A 21,890-nucleotide genomic window follows, 5' to 3' on the forward strand; every position below is an offset into this window, starting at 1 on the left:
TAATTAATAAAAAACTATTTTAAAATAAATGAATAAAATACCACATCCAACAGCCCTGCCTACAGGTAAACACATGGGAGTTTATGAGATTAAATGACTTGCTTGGTTTCTTTGTTTGATTATTTCAGAGCCAGTTGGAGTGTGAGGCTTCAGAATCGCCTTCCAACTCTCTGTGCACTGCACCAGCTGCTTCCCATAGACTCCTGGTAAAATATGTAAGTATTAAAATGTTTTCATACACATGAGTGGATAGGCAATTCCAATCTACTGAAGCAGCCTCTTTTTCCTAGCATCTTCCTTTGTGTTTCTCCCTTATCAGAATGTAAGGTAGAACTAACACTCCCTACTATGAATTTCTAAAATTCACTTGATAAATTACCTTGAATTGTTCAGGTCAAAGGCAAATGTGGACTAGAACTTTTCAAAACCTTGTCATGATAATACAGGAAAAAATAATACTATTTTGTGTCATTCAAATTCCGAGTAGCTTTAATCAATCATTCAATATGTCATAAGCACCTAGTAACTAATCAGCAATCTGATAGACAACATGCTTATTATCCTCAAGGACCTCAAAGCCTAGGTAGGGAAACAAAACAAATACACAGGAGAGAGAAAGATCATGGATAAGCTAAACTGCAATACTAGTATCTAATATCTGCAATTAGATTATGGAAAAGGGAGGTGTCATTGGAGGCTGTTTTAGATGGATCAGACTCCCATTGAAGACCAGGGAAGGATAAAGATAAGTGTATGGGGGTAGGAAGAATTACTTCTTGACGTTTGTTCATGGTATCAGAAGTAATGAATTTCAAGTTTACCCAATGAGCACATCAGTTTTTGCAGATGTTTATTTCTCACAAGCCCCAAGCTGACCTCTATTGAATGGTATACTAGGTAGGTGGTTAGATTGTGGTCTTTTGTGTGCTGAGGATGGCTTTGTTTTACACCCTGATGACTTATGTCCTTCTTGGCCCTAACTCCTTCCTCATTCTTTGCTTTGTGGCTTACAAGAGAGCGGAAGGAAGAAGAGCCACTACCCATAACATCAGTGGCTGCTAACTAAGGAGTGTTTTGACATGCTGGTACAGCCTATCCTCAGCTTTCCAGAAGGTGGAATCTTGTGATAGTGGAAAGAAGTAGAAGAGATGAAGGTAGGCCAGTAACCAGCGATGCCCAGCTGGCTCTGCTAGGATTACTTACAGCCTGTATTTGCTCTGATTGGTGAGGGTCTGTGCCATGGTTGGTATTATTTGAAAACCATTTCTGGCTACACACCAGTTATAAAAAATAAGCCACACTGTTGCCTTTTCTAGAATAATGTAAGATAACAAATTTGTTATAAAGCTAGAAAATGAAAGTAAAAAAAATATGAGCACTGGTAAATCTCACTGTTTGTAACAATTCAGTTGAGCCATTTACATCTCATTTTATTAAAAAATATGCAACCAAAAATAAAAGTACTCAATCTTTTGGAAAAATTTTAATGTGATTTTTTTCTTGCTTGTTTAATTAAATCCTTAACCTTATGGCAGAATTTCTCAAGCTCAACACTGTGGGCATTTGGAGCTGGGGGTAATTTTTTGTTGTCGGGGGCTTTTGTGTATTTTAGGATGTACAGTAGCACCCCTGGCTTTTATCCGCCAGATGCCAGTAACACCCCTACTCCCAGCTGTGAGAACCAAAAAGGTCTCCAGACTTTGTCAAATGTCTTCTATGGAACAAAATCAACCCCCTAGGGAACCACTGCCTGAGACATTCCAGTATGATTTTCAAGTAGAATCTGCCCCAGACATTTTATTCACGTGGCGTCAGTGGAGTCAGTCACCTATCTACATCCCTCATGCTTAATGAAACACAGCTTTCATTTAAGCCATCTATCAAAAAAAAATTTCTGAAGTATTTTCTATTTATTTCTTAAGTTTATGCTCTTGAGTTTATGCTCAGCTGCCACTGAGCCCTTTATTTGTAATTGTAAGTTGGGAAACTCACCTGAAATGGAGAGAAATGGTAAGCGTATCTAGTTTGTGTTGGAGATAGGTTTAGTGTGGGTCATGAGTATTGAGAACCAGATTTAAGATGATGTTGTCCTACAAGAGTCCCAGATCACTGCCATCCCAGCTTCCAGGAAACCTGATATAAATTTCTCAGTAGCTATACAAGAAAACAATTGCAATAAATTGTTTATTAATGTCTACCATGTGCCATACCTTTGAAGAATCACTTGGTTCCTCAAAAGCAGTTAGGATTCTTGTTGCAAGCAATAGAACTCTGAAGTGGTTTAAGCTATAGGGAATTTATTAACTCATGTAATTGTGAAGTCCAAAAGCAGGGTGAGTTGGTTTGTTCTCAAGGCTCATGCTGTCATCAGTCTGTGGCTCGGTTTCCCTGTGGAAAACCGAGTTTTGCCCTTAGTTTTGCCCTCATCTCGGTGACTGCATCATCCTCAAGCCGGTAGCCAAATCTCTGCCATCAGTTCCTGGGGTCACACGTTTCCCCAGCCCATAGGTTCTCTTTCCTCCATTTGCAGAACAAAAGCCCATTTAGGACACAGGTTGAACCCACCTAAGACGCAGGTTCTGCCACTGGATCAATCACTACCATGAGGGTGATGTTTTGCTCTGACCTGTCCAGGCTGGTCTCATGTGCCCATTTCTGAACCAGTCACTGTGGGTGAGGGGCACTTAGGCAGAACCAAACGAGTCCTAACCTTGGAGCGGAGGGTGGGGACAATCCCATCCAGACCATATGACTTCTCCATAGAGGGTGAATTAAGTAAGTGCTAGGGAGTTAATCACGATACCCACCACCCCACAATCTGTTTGGTGTTGAAAGTACTGTAGCACATGGGGGAGCAGCAACTTAAGAGATCAAAAGAGCTGCCACACTGGGGCGGGGCGGGAGGTGACACAACCCTCTCTAAGCTTCGGTAACTCTTAGCAAAGGGTCTGTATTGGGGCTGGAAGCAGGGGTTGGAGCAGCCTAGCCCAAGAAGACAGACACTGGACAGAATAGGAATGTGATTTTAGTTTCTGCTGCTTCCGGGCCATTTGTCCTCACACCGTTTCCTCATCCTTCTCCAGCTCTACTCTGTGCCACAGTGGGACACATGGCCATAGACTGCATTTCCCAGGCTCTCAGGTCAGTTGGCCTCTTAGCTGGATCTGACCCATGAGAGGCACTCGCAGGAATTAGGAGGGTAGAGGAAAGGGAGACACAAGGCATTTGTCCCACTCCTGTGCCTCAGGCAGCATCTCCAGCAGTGATAATGTCTCTTCTGAGTACATGACTCCAAATCCCACTGGACAGATCTGGTTTTCTTCCAGAATCCTCCCAGAATCCGTGGTCTGTGGGTCCTCACACAACTTCATCTTCCCTCTGTCCCTCCAGCCAAGGTGTGGTAACAGTTCCCTGCAGTTGCCAATCTCTGGGTGGCACCACCATCTCCTGTTTGGCTTCTCAGCCTTTCCAGTCACATCCACTCCCCACACCACAAAATCCCACCACTAAACTTCCTCTAGTTTAAATACTTAGAGTAGTTTCTCTTTCCCTGGTTGTTCCTAACCCAATCCTTAAATTTTTCCCAGTGTAGTGTGGCCTGGAGAAGCAAGGGTTACATGTTGAACTACATTAAGCTGAGACCTCCAGGGTGTTACTGACCCAACCTCTACACTTCAGTAAGCAGCTCTCCGTTGGAAATTAAAATGCATCTTCTTTATTTTTTCCTCCCATCTCTAGAGTCAGGGATTGAGGGGACGGTGTCCTTGGGGATGAGGTATTGTGATTGTCAATAGCAGTAATGACAACTGATGGAACGTTTAGGTTTGATTTACAAGGAATGCTGGATTTGCATTAGTGTGGTGGGTTTAAAATAACATACATGCATTAGATGATATTCAGATTTAATGGAAAAATAATGACTGCATTAAATCAGGTTTTATTGTTATGGAGGGTTTTAATTTGGCAGGACCACTTTCCTTTTGTGATCTAAAAAGGACTCAATTGAGGAAGGTGGGGCCTTCACGCTGGTTCTTGACCTATATCCATTTTGTACTCACCCAGAAATGATTGCACCTTTTAAACAGGTTAACCTTTTTCTTTCCTTTTTTTCCCCCTTAGAAGATGGTTTTTACTTTTTAAAACCTCACAGATTAATTTAAAAGTAATAAAAATTAAACAGAAGTCATTGTTATGAAATGGAGTTTCCATTGTGGGTTTTTTAAAGAGGAAATGCATCATTAAAGTCGTTGCATTATTTATCAGAGAAGCTAATGAAATCATAACTACAGTAACTGAACACACGCAACACAGCACTTGTTTGAAACACTGCCTATAAAACCCTAGTTAATCACCGTAGGACCAGTGCTTTTTATACTTCATCTCATGAAATAAAAATCATTGCAGTGTTTGTGTAAAGGCTTCCAAATTCTTGACTTTTACCAAGTTTCTATAGTTACAGTTATGGGGTGACCATGAAATTTGGTCAGAATTCGCTAGTAGAGGCAGGCTCGACCGTAGATTTTAATGGGACTTCAAAAGATTTTTAAAAGATTGCCTCCCATCTTACTTGTGTCTTGTTTCAATGTTGCCTGTTAATTTATTAATCTTTCCACCTGCCTAGGTCAGCTGTTTTTACAGGGATAAAAGCTATCACTGTAGAGAGAGAAGAAACCATGCCAATACATAGTACAGTCCATGATTTTACAAAGGAGGAGTTGAAGTCAAGGATGTAAGTGACTTGCTAAAAGCAGGCAAGATCCAGATCCTTCCTGGTTGCCTCACTACCTGCCTTGTGGCAGCTTGGAAACCAGGGGGGCTGGGTTTGGAGGTTCTGAAAAGGTCTCAGAGTCCCAGGCTAATAAAAACCTCAAGAGGTGATCTGTTCTAGGGACAGCCTGCTCCTGGGCCAGCTGCAAAGCTGCCCCTCTGTCTTCCATGCCAACACCCCACTGCATCCACCGCCCCTCCTGATCCATGTCCCTGCATCTGTAGTTTGCTCTCTCTTCAATCCTTGTCTCTTTTCCCCAACCTCTCCTCCCACTGAGGAGCTTGTGACCTGGCAGGTGGCCTTTTTTTTTTTTTTTTTTTGAGACGGAGTTTCTCTCTTGTTGCCCAGGCTGGAGTGCAATGGCACAATCTTGGCTCACTGCAACCTTCGCCTCCCGGGTTCAAGTGATTCTCTTGCCTCAGCCTCCGGAGTAGCTGGGAATACAGGCATGTGCCACCATGCCCAGCTAATTTTGTATTTTTAGTAGAGATGGGGTTTCTCCATGTTGGTCAGGCTGGTCTCAAACTCCCGACCTCAGCTGATCCTCCCGCCTCGGCCTCCCAAAGTGCTGGGATTACAGGTGTGAGCTGCTGTGCCTGGCCTGGCAGGTGGACTTTTATGGGCACGAGAGCAAACCTGCATCACCAGGCTTATGGGAAGACCCATTAGGCAAGTACTGGAGGATTCTGCAGTATCTCAGTGAGGCTATCCGAGGGCCAGGGCTGTGGAGTGACCTGGAGTTTTGGTGTCTTCCATCTAGCATTAGTGGCAGCTTTATAGAAGTGACAAAGACAAGATCAAGCCACTGATGTTTTGACACGACCAGAATATTAGGCTAAAATACACCAAATCTTACATAAGCTTGTAACCTTCATTTAGTTCATTTTAACTCTATGCTTACTCCTCCAGTTAACTCCTGACTTTTGGGACTGTACACCTAGGAACTTCCTCCATCCTGTCTCTCTCCTTCTCACCCACCTGGAAACTGCTTCATGTCATGACTGAGAGAGGGGTCTCCATATGACACCAACCATCCACCCCAGAGCTCCAGTTGATTGGTCCTGGGAGAGACACCTGACCTGAGCCACGTCAAGGAGGACCTTCCTGGATCAGTCAGACTTGGGACTCATTTTAGGATCAGTTTCTGCAGATGATGAATAAACTGTAGGCCTAACATTTAGGAGCTATTGTAGACAATGTCTAGAAAGTCAACCAAAAGAGGAAGAATGCAGCTGATAGGTGGAGAAAAAGTGAGCTGATAGTTGGTTAGCCTGTGCTTGGTCCTCTTTGCTCCTGAAGCCCAGCTGCACACACCCTGCCTTCAATGCAGCCTGGGCAGGTGACTTTTTCTATGAGCCAATCATTTCCTCTTAAGCTCTAGATCTAATTGTGTATCTGATGCTACAACCACAGACAGCCTATTGATTGATTGATCTCTTTCTTCATTCATGGGTGTGTGCACACATTCAAAGATGGTTGTCAAGCACCAAGTGTCACACCTTTCTGGGCTTTCCCGTCCCGTCTTGCTCACATTATCCACCCACCTTTTCATAATTTCCTCTTTATTGTCTGGTTTTGTTCATGTCACACAAACAAGGAAAAAAAACCCCTATGTTTAATAGCTATTTTAGTTTAAATGAATTGGAAAAAATTGATGAGAAGGGGCCCGGAGTATGAGTTTATGACAGGCCTTAGGAGGTAGGACACTGCTAAGGATCTGTGAGCATGTGATTAAGTAATCTGTCACCAAGCTTTATGGCACATTTCTTATTCACTGGAAGCTACCAAAGACAGGGAAGTTATACTGTTTGTTCTTGAGATGCTTACAGTGAGAGAAGTGGGAAAGGATTAAGATAAATGTGGAGTATTTGCAAATAAGGAAGGGAGATCTATGTAAGGGGAAGTGATTTGGACTGCCTAACACCTAAGGAATGCTGATCTGCTCTTTCTGAGATCAATTTGTACTGTTATAGCACTTCTCATTCAGAGCTCTCAAGGTGTATGATAAATACTAGCTTATCATGGCTCACTATCCCCTTGGGCATAAGAGATTTAGAATAAGGCATAACCATGGGCCGGAAGGGATAGGAAACATACTTAATAGATGTTCTATGGGGATTTTGGTACGCAGAATGTAATTACCTGTACTGGAACTTGGCCAGAATACCAGAAGTGAATGACCTATCAGACTTGTGATCCAAGGCAATAATTATATCACTCTGTCAGCTCAAATGCAAGGGAGAATTGAGGTTAGTATCATTACCCATTTTCACTGCATATATTTCTTTCACTATGATCCATGAAAATATTTTATTCTTGAATTCCTCAAACTCACTCTGCCCAAGCTGGATGCTTCCCACAAAGCCTGCATCCAATGCATGTCTCCCAGATCATCTGCAGTCATCTTTTCACTTTTCCTTCCTGCCCCACCCCAGAGCCTGCATAAGTGATGAGCAAGGGAATCTGTCCCGGGTGGGATTTCAGAGAAGACAGATGATGATACATTCTTTGTTTACTTCCCATTTCCCTCCTTCCCTCATTTCTGACTTGGACTTCTCATGACTTTTCCAGGTGCTGCCTGGTTTCCCTACATTCTTTCCCAGCTCTCATCTTCTCACAGTTCAACAGTCTCTCAAGACTTGAGGTCAGGTTGATCAGAAAGGCGAGTTCTGATTGGACTGCACTCACACCTAGGCACTTTATCCGTTAGTGAAATGGACTCAAACTTCACAACTCTCAAGGTCAGATATATAAAATGGAGCATTTGTTTGGTAATAAAAATATTATTTCTGGCTTTGAGCTTCCATTTTTCCTGATACAGAAAATGGGATCTCGTTACTTCCAAGTAAACTCATCAACTTTCATAATTTCTCAATCACTTCAGTTAAAAATTTAGCCACATTTGGAATTTGTGTTTCCTCATTGTCTTGCAGATTGATGCTAGCTTCAGGAAGGGGCTCAAATGTCATTTGGTCGCTTCTTGTTCTCTATCTGATGAGGTTCCCTGAGGCTGTCCCTTGAGATGGGCTTTGGGCTGCCTGGTCCTCGGACGCGGCCACCTCTGCCCAGTGGCTGGCTGAGCTGCAGCCCTGTGCTCATTGGAGGCCTGGTGGGTGGTTGAAAGGCAGAAGACTCCAGTTCTGACTCATACATCTTCTTCCTAATTCTCTTTTCTTTATACTTGAACCCCTAGTTTTTGAGCTTAACCCTTCAAATTGGGAGACTTTGTTTTCTGTTTTCTTTCTGATGTTCTCACTCTCCTTCCCCCACCCCTGGAAAAATTGCAGGTTAATGTTTGCAGCCCAAGAGAAGGATCATTAAAAAGAAAGAAAAAGGACATCTTAGTTAGTATCTCACAGTATCATCTCTAAGTAAGCCAAATTCTTCTATCATCTGTATTTTGAATTTACATAAAAAACTAAGAACTTGCTGGAGATGTTTCAGACAAAACCTTAAAAAGGATATAGCATAGAAGTCCCTATTTTCTTATAAGAACCACTAGGATGTGGGTGGGTGGAAGGACAAGGAGGACAAGCCGAAGTTGCTCAGTGTGTATTGATGAGAGTGGCTATGCTCAGAAATTAAGATTTTTTCCTTAGTTACTAGTAGAACTGGGATCTGTCCATTTTCACAAGTGAAATGCTAGACCAAGATAACAAAATTAACAACATTGAGAGTTATCAGAGTTATCAGATTTGATGAGGGCTTATCAAACAGAGGTCCAGAAGTTACCCACACTAGGAAGAAACATATTTATTCTCACGATACAACATTATTAGGTAGAAATACCTGAGACTATTCTCATCAATCAGCAAGGGAGAGAAACTACATCTCCAGTGTTAATGTTTATATTTACCTGTGTGCCTGTATCTCTCAGCCTTGTCAGTACCACTGGTGGATTCCAAGATGCTGGAGATGGGCCTTGGGCTGTCTGGTCCTCAGACGTGGCCACCTCTGCCCTGTGGCCACTCAGGTCATCCATTTGAACTTGGTTTTTGCTCCTAGAAAAGTTTGTCCAAGAAAAGAAAATATTTTCTTTTGAATCTCAGTATTTTTAGTTCAACAGCTTATAATCTTCCTTTGGCTAAAATATCTGTCTTGCACGAATGTCATTTCTTTTTTACTTTTGCACGTCACATAATCAGAATATATCTCACATTGCTTAAGCACTAAGAAAGAAGGAGTATATTATGTTTTAGAACAAAATGCATGGTCAACACTGGGTGATTGTGGTGTGCTGGGGGTAGGGAGAAGGGGTCATGGTGAAATCAGAGGAAGTGAGGTGAGTGCCTACAAGAGGCTTATTAAACGATCTGAGAGTGAGATTGGAGATGAAAGTCTTTGTAAGCCATTTTTTTTAAAGCTATACTTAGTAACTGTAAAATCTTTTGGAAGCTGTGTTAACATGTCTGGTCACCAAGGCAGTAAAAGCATACTTATTTACTCTACTGTCATCTTAGAATCAAATTTATTAGGTTGGTCTTAGGGCATAAGAATGCAGCATGTTCCCAAGTCATTCTGCTAAACACCAACACTAACATCTGTCAGATGTTAAAGGGTGAATAATAGCAAAGTTCACATCTACAGGCAACAGAAGCTGACCCTGGATGACTTAAGCAGGAAAAGGAGGGTATGCCAATTCGAAGTCTTGTTGGAAAATCTGGAGAACAGGTTGAGAAAATGGGCAGGAGCCAAAGGAGAGGCAAGTGGCCAGAATCACAGCCAAAATCACACCATGGGGATAGGCTTGTGGGGATGCCACTGCCACTATTTGCAGACACCTAACACCCAACACTTCCTTTGTGCCACCAATGGCTCTCACACTGAGCCTGTGCCTCTGTCATGGCCATCTGGATGTATCTCTCTTGTCCCGCTTCTCTGCCACTTTCTTCAGAGTCAACGTCCAATGAAGGAGCATCCAACTGGCCCTGTCCAGAGTGTGTAATGCACTAATCCCACGAACTGAGGCAGATGACACGCTGCTCTTTGACCTTCTGTGGTGACAGTAGGTCTTGGCTCCTGGTAACAGTCACACAACTGAGGATTCCCCAAACCTAGGAAGATGCTTCAGATTCCTGGCAGCCAAAAAATGATAAATGACAACAGGATATTACATAAGAAGAGGTTCCATGGTCAATTAATTTTGGAAAATGCCAGGTTTGACAGGTTTTGCTATAGGGCTTTTAAAAAATGTGATTGCATGCATGGGAAATCTCCAGGAAGGACTGTAGGATCCCTCCCTTCTTTATTGTCTTGTATGAGTGTTCTGTGGAATACGTTTTATGACTCAGTACTTCAAAGCAACAAGACTTTTTCTTGCTTTTAACCTCAGCAAACCAGTTTCTTTATGGACGCATGCAACGTTTCTAGGTATGTGAACTAGAACCGCAGTTATGAAAACTTTAAGGCTGTACTGAGGCCTCATGATTGGTTTATATCTCACCATGAGGGTAAGATTACTATTTTATGCCAGCAGCAACCATCCAAAGCTTGCTCTTCTTGGATTTGCAAGTTTGGGGTTAGTGTTGTAGATATATCACCGCCATGCACTTTTCTGTACTGAAGCTTCTCCTTTTGTTTCTGGCTGACTATCCAACCTGCCTGAACACATTAATGCAGCTTTACAAAACGTCCAAGAGACTAGCTTGTGTCTGAGAGACCTACATACAGCAGAGATGGATATTGCCAAGATTCAAGTTCTCTGATAACTCAAAACAAATGTCCTGCTTATTTTTATAGCACTACAATGTAAGGACACGTAATTCAACAACCAAACAACAGCTGACCTTTAAGCCATGTTTGGCACAGAAAATCGCTCCTATCTATATTCATAGATGATGTCTAAACTTTAGGTCAGAGTCATATTTTATTTGAGAATTGGTAAGCTGAGTATTATATCTTCACATGCAAATCCAAGGCCCAGCTCTCTAGGCAGTGGAGGTAAATATAAGTTATGGGTATGACTTAAATCAGCACTGAAAGTTGAGTTTTAAAAAAATAAAGTGTTTCTTTTTTCAAATCTCCCTACATGAAAACAAGAAATTTCTTACTATCCTTCAACTTTTATAAAATATAAAGCTAACACTATGAGATACACTCATTCATTCAAAAATATTTATTTGGGCCCATGATGTGCCAGGCTGTGTGCTCGATATGGGGGATAAAATTGTGAATAAGGCATACTCCACACCTTTAAGGAGCTTACACTTAAACTATTGTTTTGTTATCTATTTGTTTATTCCAAAGACTTTCGAGGCATACTACATTTCATACACAGTGCTAGGAGCTCAGGATAAGGAAGCGAACCGGAAAATAATGGTTTCTACTTATCAGAACATAAGCCTAGAGAGGGAGGCTGGCATTAAACCATACATCACACAATTATTTGTAGAATCATGCTTGTGATCAGAGTCACAAAGAAAAAGACCAGAATGCTGCGAGTATGTGATGGAACATGTTCTTTGGGGAAGTGGCCTGTGAGTTGTGCTCAGAAAGATGATCAGGAATAAGTGTGATGGAGACACAGAGAGAGGATGTGAAGGTAGAAATAGAGTGTTAGAGCCAAAGAGACTTTTTCTGGTGCCAGAGGAAGACTGGCCCCAAATGATGAAGAAAGGGATGGGGCCTGGCCAGACAGAGCCTTGGAGACCATGGGTGGATTTTGATCTTCATCTTAGAGGCAAAAAGAAGTCATGAAGAAAGTTTCATTAGAGGGATGACATAATCAGATGTGCACTTTAGAAAGACCGCTCTGCCCTGTATGTTGAATGGTTTGAAGGGGCAATAATGGATGCAGAAATACCAGTCGGGAGGTTATTCCACTTTTCTAGGTAAAAGTCACAGTAGTGCAAGAGACAATGGTAAGAGATATATAGACATGAAATATAAACATTCTGAGTCAATAGTACTTGATGCTTATTTGAATGAGAGAGAGAGAGAGAGAGAGAGAGAGAGAGAGAGAGATCTAAGAGAAATAAAAGTAAATTGCTAAATGCAGTATGGTGAGCCAAAGGCTATCAAGGACAGTAGAGACACCTAGCCAGTCACTGTCAGCAAAGGCAAATACAAGGAAGCATGTGACCTCAAGTTGTATATTGTTTATTTGAAGAAACTAGATAAAAATAATAAAAAGTTAACTCACAATCAAGGCAGTGAATAGCAAGCATCAAATGAGTGCTTTGGACACGGTGGTTTGTGGGTGTTGACTGCTTAGTTGTGGATAGGTGCAGTCAGGAAGGCCTCATGCAGTGGGTAACACCAGCTGGACTCAGCAAAGAAAGGAAGAGGAGCAATCCTGTTGGAGAGAACATGTGGAAGAAGGTGATGAGGAAGTAAGAATAGGCTAAGCATGATAGGGAGTATCAGATAAACTAATTATATAAAAATGGGAGATTCATTTGGAGGAAAAGTGGTGATGAATTTGGAAGGGTAGTCTGGGGGCAGCAATGGGGTTGCAGAATTTCTATTAAAAATTCATAAAAGCTGATTTATACCTGGATTCTCATGAGTAGGTTAGAAATCTCATGCAATAGGAAAAGTTCAAGTTCTGAGTCTTCTCCGACCTTCTCTACCATGGAACCTTGAAACAGACAAAAACGCTAATCCTTCTCCATGACCCCTGATCAGAACAGAGTGTCCCATGAAATGCAAGTTGTTTGTGTGTCTGTAAGGTATATACCTAAGAGAAGTCCCTGAGAGGACTGGGAACTCTGAATCTACATTAGTGATTTGGGCAGTTTCCTTCTCCTGTGAACAAAGCAGAGAGTCCATGGTCACAGTCATACTACCTCTTGCAAATCAAACACATTTCTGACTAACAGTTGAGTCTCTAATGGATGCTCCCAGATGATTAGCTCTGGGAAGTGTTGATCTCTGTCCTGGAGGTCATAGAAAGGCTATAGGTAAGAAATTATCAATTAGAACTGCTAGAAATTGAAGTAATTTCAGCCTAAGTCTAAGACAGCATGGGACAAGAAAAAAGGAGTGAATTTGACATAGAAGAACTTGGTTTCAAGTTTCAGTTCCATGTTATCTTGAGCAAGTCCATACAATCCTTTAGAGGTGCCATATCTTTACTTGTAAAATGGGATATTCACACCTTAGGCATTGACAATACCTGTAATAACTGTAACCATCACCAAAGCCTCAATTTTAAGTCTTCTACTGTGACCATCACTTCCTATTCTAACTATTCACTTACGTTGGTACCTTCATGATACTTTCTCAACTTCATCAAGACCTTTGATCCATTTGACTCCTTTTCATTACCACCATTTTTCTCTGTTCATTTCCCTTCTCACTCCACTCACGGTCTATGGTCTATCACTTTAGCCCCTTCCTTGCTGACCTCTGCAGGTCCTTTTCCCATCTTCCTCCTCTCTCCTCTCTTGACAAACCCCAAACAGTGGTTGAGCTTATCCAGTCTTCTTTTCCATCTCCACATTTAAGCAATTAAATGTTGACAGAGAGGTACCCAACTGGCCAGATGGATTTCTTTTCAAATTTATGGCAACATATAGCAATGAATATGCGACACTGCTTGACAATGTTTCCTAATATCTTGATGATTTCTATTTCACTAGAATAACTATTTTCTAAAACAATGACTTCACATCATCTCTTCTTCCCTGAAATTTATCCCATTTCTCCCCTAACATTACTAGCAGTAAATAACCTGGCTTCATATTTTGTTTAGAAGATAGCATCTGAAAGAGTGCCCCAGCTCATCTTCCCACCACTGGCTGTGCCATCTCTTTATCTCTGCCCATCTTCTCAAACTTCCCTCTATGACAGTGCTTCCACTATGTCCCTGCTCTGAGCAGTGGCCACCTTGAACTCTACTTGTGAGGGTCTCTTTGCCCATTGTGGGACTTTGCTCCATTAGTTGTTCCCTCTCTCTTGCATTATCAACTGCTCCTTCATTCCTAGCCATTTCTGTAGCATGTGAACATGTTCTGGTAGCTCTTTTCCTAAAACAAGCAAGCAAACAAATATTTTTTAAAAAGGAATTAAAGAAAAAGGAAATCGTTTGAATCCTCATACCCCTCTAGCTTCTACTTACCCATCACCTGCCCCTCTCTCCAAAAAGCAAATTTCTTTTTCAAGGGATTGTTGCTATGGTCTGAGTGTTCATGTATCCCCAAAATTCATATGTTGAAACTTAATCACCAATGTAATGGTCATGGGGGCAGAGCCCTCATGAGTGGGATTATTGCCCGTGAAGGTGCCGTCCGTGAGAAAGTGGGCCCTGATCAGACACCTAATCTGCCACCAGTGCCTTGATCTTGGACTTTCAAGCTTCCAGAACTGTGATAAATACATTTCTGTTGCTTATAAGCCACTCAGTTTTTGGTATGTTGTTGTAGCAGCTCGAGTAGACTAAGACAGTTGTCCATACTTTCTGTTTTGACTTTAGATCACTTCCCATTCATCCTTCCTTCTAGGCAATAAGGCTTTGGCCCCTCATAGAAGCACTTCCCTTTCCTGTGGCTTTTAGGACAAGTCACTGCCTGGTTTGTTCTTGCCTCTTGGGTTACTCCTTTCAGTTTCCTTTTTGATGCCTCCTTCTCTTTTTCAATCTGCTTATGTGAGAGTTGCTCAAGGTACCTCTAACACTTCTCGTCTCTGTAAGATCACCTTTGGGTGACCTTATTCAGTTCCAGAGCTTTAATTAAATGTTGTCTCTATGTTCACAATTCCCATGCCTCTTTCTTCAGCGCTGACCTTGCCCTAAATTTAGTCTTGTATTTCCACTTGTATCTTTCATATCTCCAGGTCTGTGTGAGAGGAATTTCATACTTCACTCAAAATGTAACACTGGCTTTCATCCCAGATTTGCTCCTACCTCACCCCAGTCTTCAATATCTCAACAAATGGCTCCACTGTTTGCTCAAGCCCCAAACTTGAGTTGTCCCTGGTTCCTCCTTTCCCATCACTCCCCTACAATTAATACACGAGGGATTTCTGTCAGTTCCACTTCCAAAGTGCATCTTGCATTTATCTACACTCAATCTCTATTGGTGATGCCTTACCTGAGCCACCATCTCCTCTCATCTGTAATTTTTTCAGAAGCTTCCTGGGGGTTTTTTTGTTTTTTGTTTTTTTTTACTTTTTTTTCCCCCCTGCAACTCATTCTCCATCAAGCAGTCAGGGTAATATTTTTAAAACATAAACTATGTCACACTACACCCTTCACAGACTTACTGTGTCACTGAGGGGAAAGAAAAACTAAAAAGAAAACTCCTTACCATGATGGTTCTAGCCATGCATGATCTAGCTTCTTCCTTACACTCCATTGTATCTCATTCCATTCTTTTCCTCATTCACTGAGTGCCAGCCACTGGGTTTTTGTTCTTTGAATATGCCAAGCTCATTCCCACCACAGGACCTTTGCAACTATGATCTTCTTTTGCCTGGATTGCTGTGCCCCTGGCTTTTCATGGATGGCTTCTCCTTTCCAGCTCTTCTGTTGAAATGCTCCACCCTCAGAGAGGATGATAATTGTACTTATTTTAGGAAGTTGTGTTGTAAGGATTAAATGAGATAATATAGTAAGTGCTTCATAAATGTTATCATTTGTTGTTGTTGCTGCTGTTGTAGGCTGAATGCACTGGCATCTTTGTCCATTCATGGTCTTTTCCACTGAGCCTGTTTCACCCATTTACACCCATGTTTTGGTACTCAGCATTCAGACTCTACCCAGTCCCTGTTGATCTATCTTCTCTCTCAGAACTGATTCCTCAACTTCCCCTCATTTGAGCTCCACCCTCTGCCCTTAACTGATAACTTTGTTTGACTGGCTTTCTTGTCCATGTCGTTGAATGGTCTCCCTTGTATATAACTTTTCATATGATACGTTAAAGGCACTGCACTTTCACGCTCCCCTGGCCCTCCCGGATCATCAGGACATGAGACCTTCCCTGCTTAGTGAAGAATGATTGTGGAGGACCCTTGTCCTTGGTGCTACAAGTGGACTTTCATCAATTCCTTAAATCTTTAGTATTGAGCTGGAATAACATGGCGGTGGCACCATGTGTTGGGGTGGGAAATGACATGGCCTTACATGGACTAGAGGGTACCCAGCCATCCAGGTGGTATCGAAAGAAAGGGGACTATGTTTGTTTGTTGAGGTAGCTTTTTATGTCTTGGCTCCCTTCTCTCTTTCTCCAAATCTCCTTCTGCCTCATTGTTGGCAGAAATTGGGTGGTGGCCTTGTCTGGAATCTGACCCATTAGATTCTTACACATAATTGGAACCAGACACAGTATGGATTCTTTGCCCTTGTTTGAGCATATAGCAAATGATCCCATATTCACGCAGTGTTGCTATAATCCAGAAAATAATCAGGCATTTCCTGGTGCATTGGAGGGTAATTCATCTGGCCTTCTCCCAGGAAGTTATCCAACCCCTTTTCTGTTGAGATGTTCTTCATTGTTTTTCAGTTATCTTCAAGCATCCTCATTTTGTCCTGTGTTTCCATTTAAAACTTCAGATTTTTCCAGGAGAATAATCCTCAACCAATTTTCTTGGTTGTCAGTGGCTGAGATGAAGCATCACTGGCAGTAAACGAACGCAGCTGAAGCTCCCAGAAAATTCTTCATGTGGCATTTACTGCTTGTTGGGATTTCCAGAACAGCATGCTGCCATTCTTTAGTGAATGTAATGTGCTGTGCCGTGGACTCATTGTGAATGAAGAATTACTGAGACTTCTGAGTTTTCTCAGAAATGGCATTGCTTACTATGCACATGTAGTTAGAGTGTATGAGGATCAGGAATGCGAGTTTTATCCACCACAGGCTCCACACACCGTGTTCAAATGGTGAATTCCTGGTTAATTTTCTCACTCTGGCTCTGTGAAAACTCTTAGCTCTGAACTGCTGCAGTTCTTTAAAAGATTCCCTGGCAGTCCCAGAAACCAGGAAAGATTTAATTTCAAACAAGAATTTTGGTGTTTGTATCACTGAGTCCTTTATTTAATTACAATAACACATTGTTTAAGTTAGCTTTCTTTTGAAAAAATAAGGGTTTAAATGAAGGGGAAAATATTATGTCAAACTAGACAAAGTTTTGAGAGGCTGAAAATGATTCCCCTTCCCCAAAGACAATTCTAAAGCCTTCATGAGCCCTCTCTCCTACTGGTCCATTTGTTCAAGCTGTGGCATTAATCTAGGAGCAGTTTCTCTACCCCTTTACTTGAGTTAGGTCTAAAAGAGAAGTACTTTCTAGAGCCCAGGCAGGCATCAAATCAGCGTCCTACAGGGCTCGAAGGAGTTCTTTTAGATTTATAAGGAGTGAATGTTTATAAAATTCTGAGGCCATCAGTTTCCCTACCTTGAAAACATCAGTTTTAGCAGGCTATATTAACCATATCTTTATATTCCAGGAGAAAATTTGTAGTGGTTAACTGTAGCCCATCAAATGATGGAAAGACAGACCAGAATTCAAGAAGTAGTGGTTATAAGAACTCATTGTTAGATCAATTCTCCACCTTTTTTTTTTTTTTTTTTTTTTTTTTGAAAGACGGAGTCTCGCTCTGTCACCCAGGCTGGAGTGCAGTGGCGCAATCTGGCTCACTGCAAGCTCCGCCTCCCGGGTTCATGCCATTCTCCTGCCTCAGCCTCCCGAGTAACTGGGACTACAGGCGCCCACCACTACACCCGGCTAATTTTTTGTATTTTTAGTAGAGGCAGAGTTTCACCGCATTAGCCAGGATGGTCTCAGTCTTCTGACCTCGTGATCCACCCACCTTGGCCCCTCAAAGTGCTGGGATTACAGGCGTGAGCCACTGTGCCCAGCCTCAATTCTCCATCTTTCCTTGCCTTCTTTCCTCCTTACCTTTTCCCTCCCTCCGTCCTTTCCTTCCTTCCATGTTAAAAGTTGTCTTCAAGATGGGTAGAGTTGGTAGATTTGGGGACACTGAGGGCTAACCTTTATTTTAAAAGCCCTCTTCACCCCAAGCCAAGTTCAAGGCAAAGCAATAGAAATGTGTCCCAGTCGCCCTTGAAGTTTGGCTTGATTTACTTATGTCCTGCAGTGGCCACTTGAACAGGAGGCTTCCAGACTAGGTACAGAGACTTAAGTGAAACTTTCTGTTTGAGTTCTGCTGCTGTGCGACTCCTGATGACTCAGCCTTGCTCCCTTGGTGAGGCTGTGCTGGCAGCAAGGCTGTGTAGCTAAGCCAAACAGTTGCCACAAAATTCATCTTTATTGCCCCTTTCCTTATAGTGCAGAAATGTGGAGTTGACAGAGTAATCACATCAGACATCTACGTGTTTGACAGCTGTCATGGACGATCTTTCTAGTCCAGAACATTCAGCAAATATTTATGAAGTGCCCAAGTAGAAATTTGCATGGCAAAGAGCTGGGGTTGAAAATGAATTATGCCCACAAGAAGCTTATAAATTAGTGCAGGGATAAAAAGATCTCCAAGATGAGGGCGGGAAGTGGTATGTGCCTTAAGAGGAGAGCAGAGAAAAGAGAGGAAGATATAAGGGTGGAGCAAGGGGAGGTTGATTTTGGTTGGAAAAACCAGGGAAAGCTTCTTGTAAAATGTGGCAATTAAACTTTCCCAGCAGACTAGGTAGAATTTGCACATCTACAACTGGCTTGTACACAGATTATAAGTTAGGGCAGCCATCCAGAAGGCACACAGAGAAAATGTAGGAGAGAGAGAAATAGGAGTCCAGTTTGCAGTGTTCGTGCAGGAAGGAAACATTGGCTGGGGAGGTCAGTTGAGAGCAGACAGCAATGGGTCTTGGCTACCAGGCAAAGGAATTGAAGCAATAGAAATGTCGGGAGAATAATTTGGGAAAGTTCAGGCAGACTGGAAAAGTGGATTCATGTTGAGTTGTCTGGGTCTGGGATCCTCAATGAAATCTTTCATCTCTATCTTGTGGGGAACCGAAATTGCCACCTTAGGTAGCATCTTACTCTAGCCATCTTCTTATATTTGGCCAGACTTCTTTCCTTGCACAAGACAAGCCCTTAACATGCTGCTCTAACTTTCCCATTTGTCATGATACTTAGGCAATAAAGCTGCGGGTTGCTGAGAGCCTGCCATGTGCCAGGCACCTTGGTAAGTTTGTCACATGTATAATCTTTTTAAATTTTCTCCCAAATCTGACGTGGAAAATGTTCCCCCTCGCCCCCCTTTTCTTTTCAGGCAAGGAAGCTTGAGTCCTAGTGTAGTTAACCATGTCCTAAGACAACCCAGCCTCTAAGTGACAGAAAAGTGATTTGCCCCATTGTATTCTGTTCTTTATTCTATGCAAGCACTCAGAGCTCTTAATGTTGATAAATAAATAATAACAGCTGACAATGCATGTGCTCAACATACCACATGCAGTCACTCACAAAAATAACATGAAGTCCTTTTACTGTTTTTCTCATTTTACACATGAGAAAACTGTCTTAAAGATTTATATAATTTCCCCCAAATCACAAAGTTACCAGGTGGCAAAAGCCAAGATTTGAATCCAAGTTTAAAGCACATGGTCTTTACTCCTTTATTATAATTGATTACTAGTCTTGTTAGCACAGGGACCAGAGTCTAGCAGAGTGCCAGGCACATGGTGGGCACATACATGTTTTTAAATGTTCTATGAACAAAATAATGCAAATGAATTAGGGAGGAGATGAAATAAAGAATGAATGAATGAGTCTGGGTATGACACCAAGCCTGAGTTCTTGATATGGTCCTTCACACTATGTACAAATTTTGGTGAACTACTATCAACAGCACAGACGATATGGCCTGGTTCTGACTGTGTGGTCCATACAGCTGGGCTCTCCACAGGCATGGAATTGCGGTCAACTGCTAAATACTTGCTTTTTAGTCAGTTATGCTTTACCTATAGAAAGACACTTCTGGGCTGGGCATTGTGGTTCATGGCTGTAATGCTAGGACTTCGGGAAGCCAAAGCAGGCTGATCACTTGAGCCCAGGAGTTCGAGACCAGCCTGGGCAACATGGCGAAGCCTATCTCTACAAAAAATACAAGAATTACTTGGTCCTGGTGGCAAGCACCTGTAGTTCAGCTACTTGCGGGGCTGGGGCAGGAGGATCAGCTGAGCCTGGGAAGTCGAGGATGTAGTGAGCTGTGATCACGCCAGCCTGGGTGACAGAGCAAGACTCTGTCTCAAAACAAAAAACAAACAAATAACAACAAAAAAACTAGGTACATAGCATGCTTTAATATAAAATAATTCAATTAACAGCAATATGTAAATAATCCCAAATATTTAGGAAACTTTAGCAAGATTTTTGTTTTGTTTTTAACCAAATTTCACCTTTTATCAGTTCCTACCACTGAATTTTTAAAAATGAACTTTTACATTCAGAATAGTTTTAGATGTATAGAAAATCTGCAAAAATGGTACAGAGAGTTTCCATGTACCCCCTATCCAGTTTCCCCTGTTGTTAACATCTTACATTACTGTGGTCACAGCTAAGGAACCAACACTGGTACTTTGTTAATTAGACGCCATACTTCATTAAAATTTCATTAGCTTTTCCCAATGCTTTTTTTTTGTTTCAGGATCCGGGGCACCATATTATACTTAGCTGTTGTGTCTCTTTAGACTCTTCTGGTCTAAGTCAGTTTCTCAGACTTTCCTTGTTTTCCATCAATTGAAAACATTGAGAAGGGCTGGTCAGGTATTTTGTAGAATGTTCTTGGATTTGGGTTTGTCTGATGTTCTTCTCATAGTTAGCCTAGGATTATGGGTTGTGAGAGGAAGACCACAGAGGTAAAAAGTGCCAATCTCATTACATCATATCAAGACTACCACTACATTTTTAAAGCGAAAGCTTTAATTCTTTCACTTTTGGTGGTGATAGTGCCACATTACTGTAGTTTTGCTGATGGCTTTCACTGAGTCTCACCGGAGAGAGCAAACTCTCCTGCTGGCTTATGAGTTCATAGCTAAGTCTTTTTCTTTTCCTTTTCTTTCTTTCTTTCTTTTTTTTTTTTTTTTTGAGACAGGGCCTCACTCTGTCATCCAGGCTGGAGTGCAGTGGCGCAATCTGCTCTTGGCTCACTGCAACCTGCACCTCCCGTGCTCAAGTGATCTTCCCACTTCAGGCTCCCTAGTAGCTGGGACTACAAGTGCTGGTCACCATGCCCAGCTACTTGTTGTATTTTTAGTAGAGATGGGGTTTTGCCATGTTGCCCAGGCTGGTCTCGAACTCCTGGGCTCAAGTGATCCACCTGCCTCGGCCTCCCACTGTGGTGGGATTACAGGCATGAGCCATCACACCTGGCCCAAGCAAGGTCTTCAGTAGCAAAACATTTCGCAAAGGAGGAGTTCTACTTGTTCAGTTTTGCCTAACCTGGATAAGACAATCTTGGCTGTACTAATCAGGTAAGTTTCACCCAGTTGCAGTATAGAAGAATGTTTTTCTTGTGGCTGTGAACAGGTAAATGGAGACATTTCTTTTCTGCTTTTATTTTTCTTCCTCTTTTTTTCTTATTTCTTTTTTTCTTTCTTTTTCTCTTTTTTCTCCTCCTCCTCCTCTCCCTACTTTCCCTCCTCCTCCTTCTTCTTTTCTTCTTCCTCTTCTTCTTCCTCTTCCTCCTCTTCTTCCTCTTCCTCTTCCTCCTCCTCTTCCTCTTCCTCCTCCTCTTCCTCTTCCTCTTCTTTTTCTTCCTTTTTCCTTCTCCTCCTCTTCCTCCTCCTCCTCCTCTTCTTCTGCTGCTGCTGCTTCTTCTTCCTCTTCCTCTTCCTCTTCTTCTTCTTCCTCTTCTTTTCTTTTTCCTTCTCCTCCTTCTCTTCCTCCTCTTCTTTCTCCTTTTTTTCTTTCTTCTTTTTTCCCTTACATTTCTAATTCTTAATGGTGCAGCTGTCACCAAGGCCTTCATGGATGCCAGCAGGAAACAGCATTTATGTTGATGAGGCAGATGAAACTGAGCTTATGGGGCAAAGTCATAGGGGAAAATTATAAATATGTATCTGCAATCATATTTTTAGTAGATGGTCCCCAAATTCCATATTCGATTTTTTTCAGTAAAGATGCACTCTAACTTGTCTTTGTTTGGAGTCATGCACTGCTGTCTGGACACTGAAGCCAGCCTCTGTCATGGACTTGTCTGTGCTCACACTTCCCTGTGTCTTCTCTGGGAGGG

The 21,890-nt window shown here is 42.1% G+C and overlaps 1 long non-coding RNA gene across 11 annotated transcripts in view, besides 1 other annotated feature; it reads left to right on the plus strand.

The window, feature by feature from the left end:
- Nucleotides 1–21,890, plus strand: part of LOC102724036 (uncharacterized) — a 247,231-nt gene that overhangs the window by 173,268 nt on the left and 52,073 nt on the right. For 10 of the 11 annotated variants that reach the window (XR_007061623.1, XR_007061626.1, XR_007061624.1 and 7 more), the window contains 2 exons: nt 129–215; nt 1,015–1,154. This is a non-coding gene — a long non-coding RNA (uncharacterized LOC102724036). The remainder of the gene's footprint in view (nt 1–128; nt 216–1,014; nt 1,155–21,890) is intronic. The other variant, XR_001746805.1, reaches the window with a different exon arrangement.
- Nucleotides 14,228–14,437: an enhancer, noted in NCBI's record as "active region_28505". NCBI's record gives its function as "activates an Ori minimal core promoter by ATAC-STARR-seq in GM12878 lymphoblastoid cells {active_cell/tissue: GM12878}" and the evidence as "EXISTENCE:reporter gene assay evidence [ECO:0000049][PMID:35858748]".

Source organism: Homo sapiens, chromosome 9, assembly GCF_000001405.40.
Source record: "Homo sapiens chromosome 9, GRCh38.p14 Primary Assembly".
In the NCBI taxonomy this organism is placed as follows: domain Eukaryota; kingdom Metazoa; phylum Chordata; class Mammalia; order Primates; family Hominidae; genus Homo; species Homo sapiens.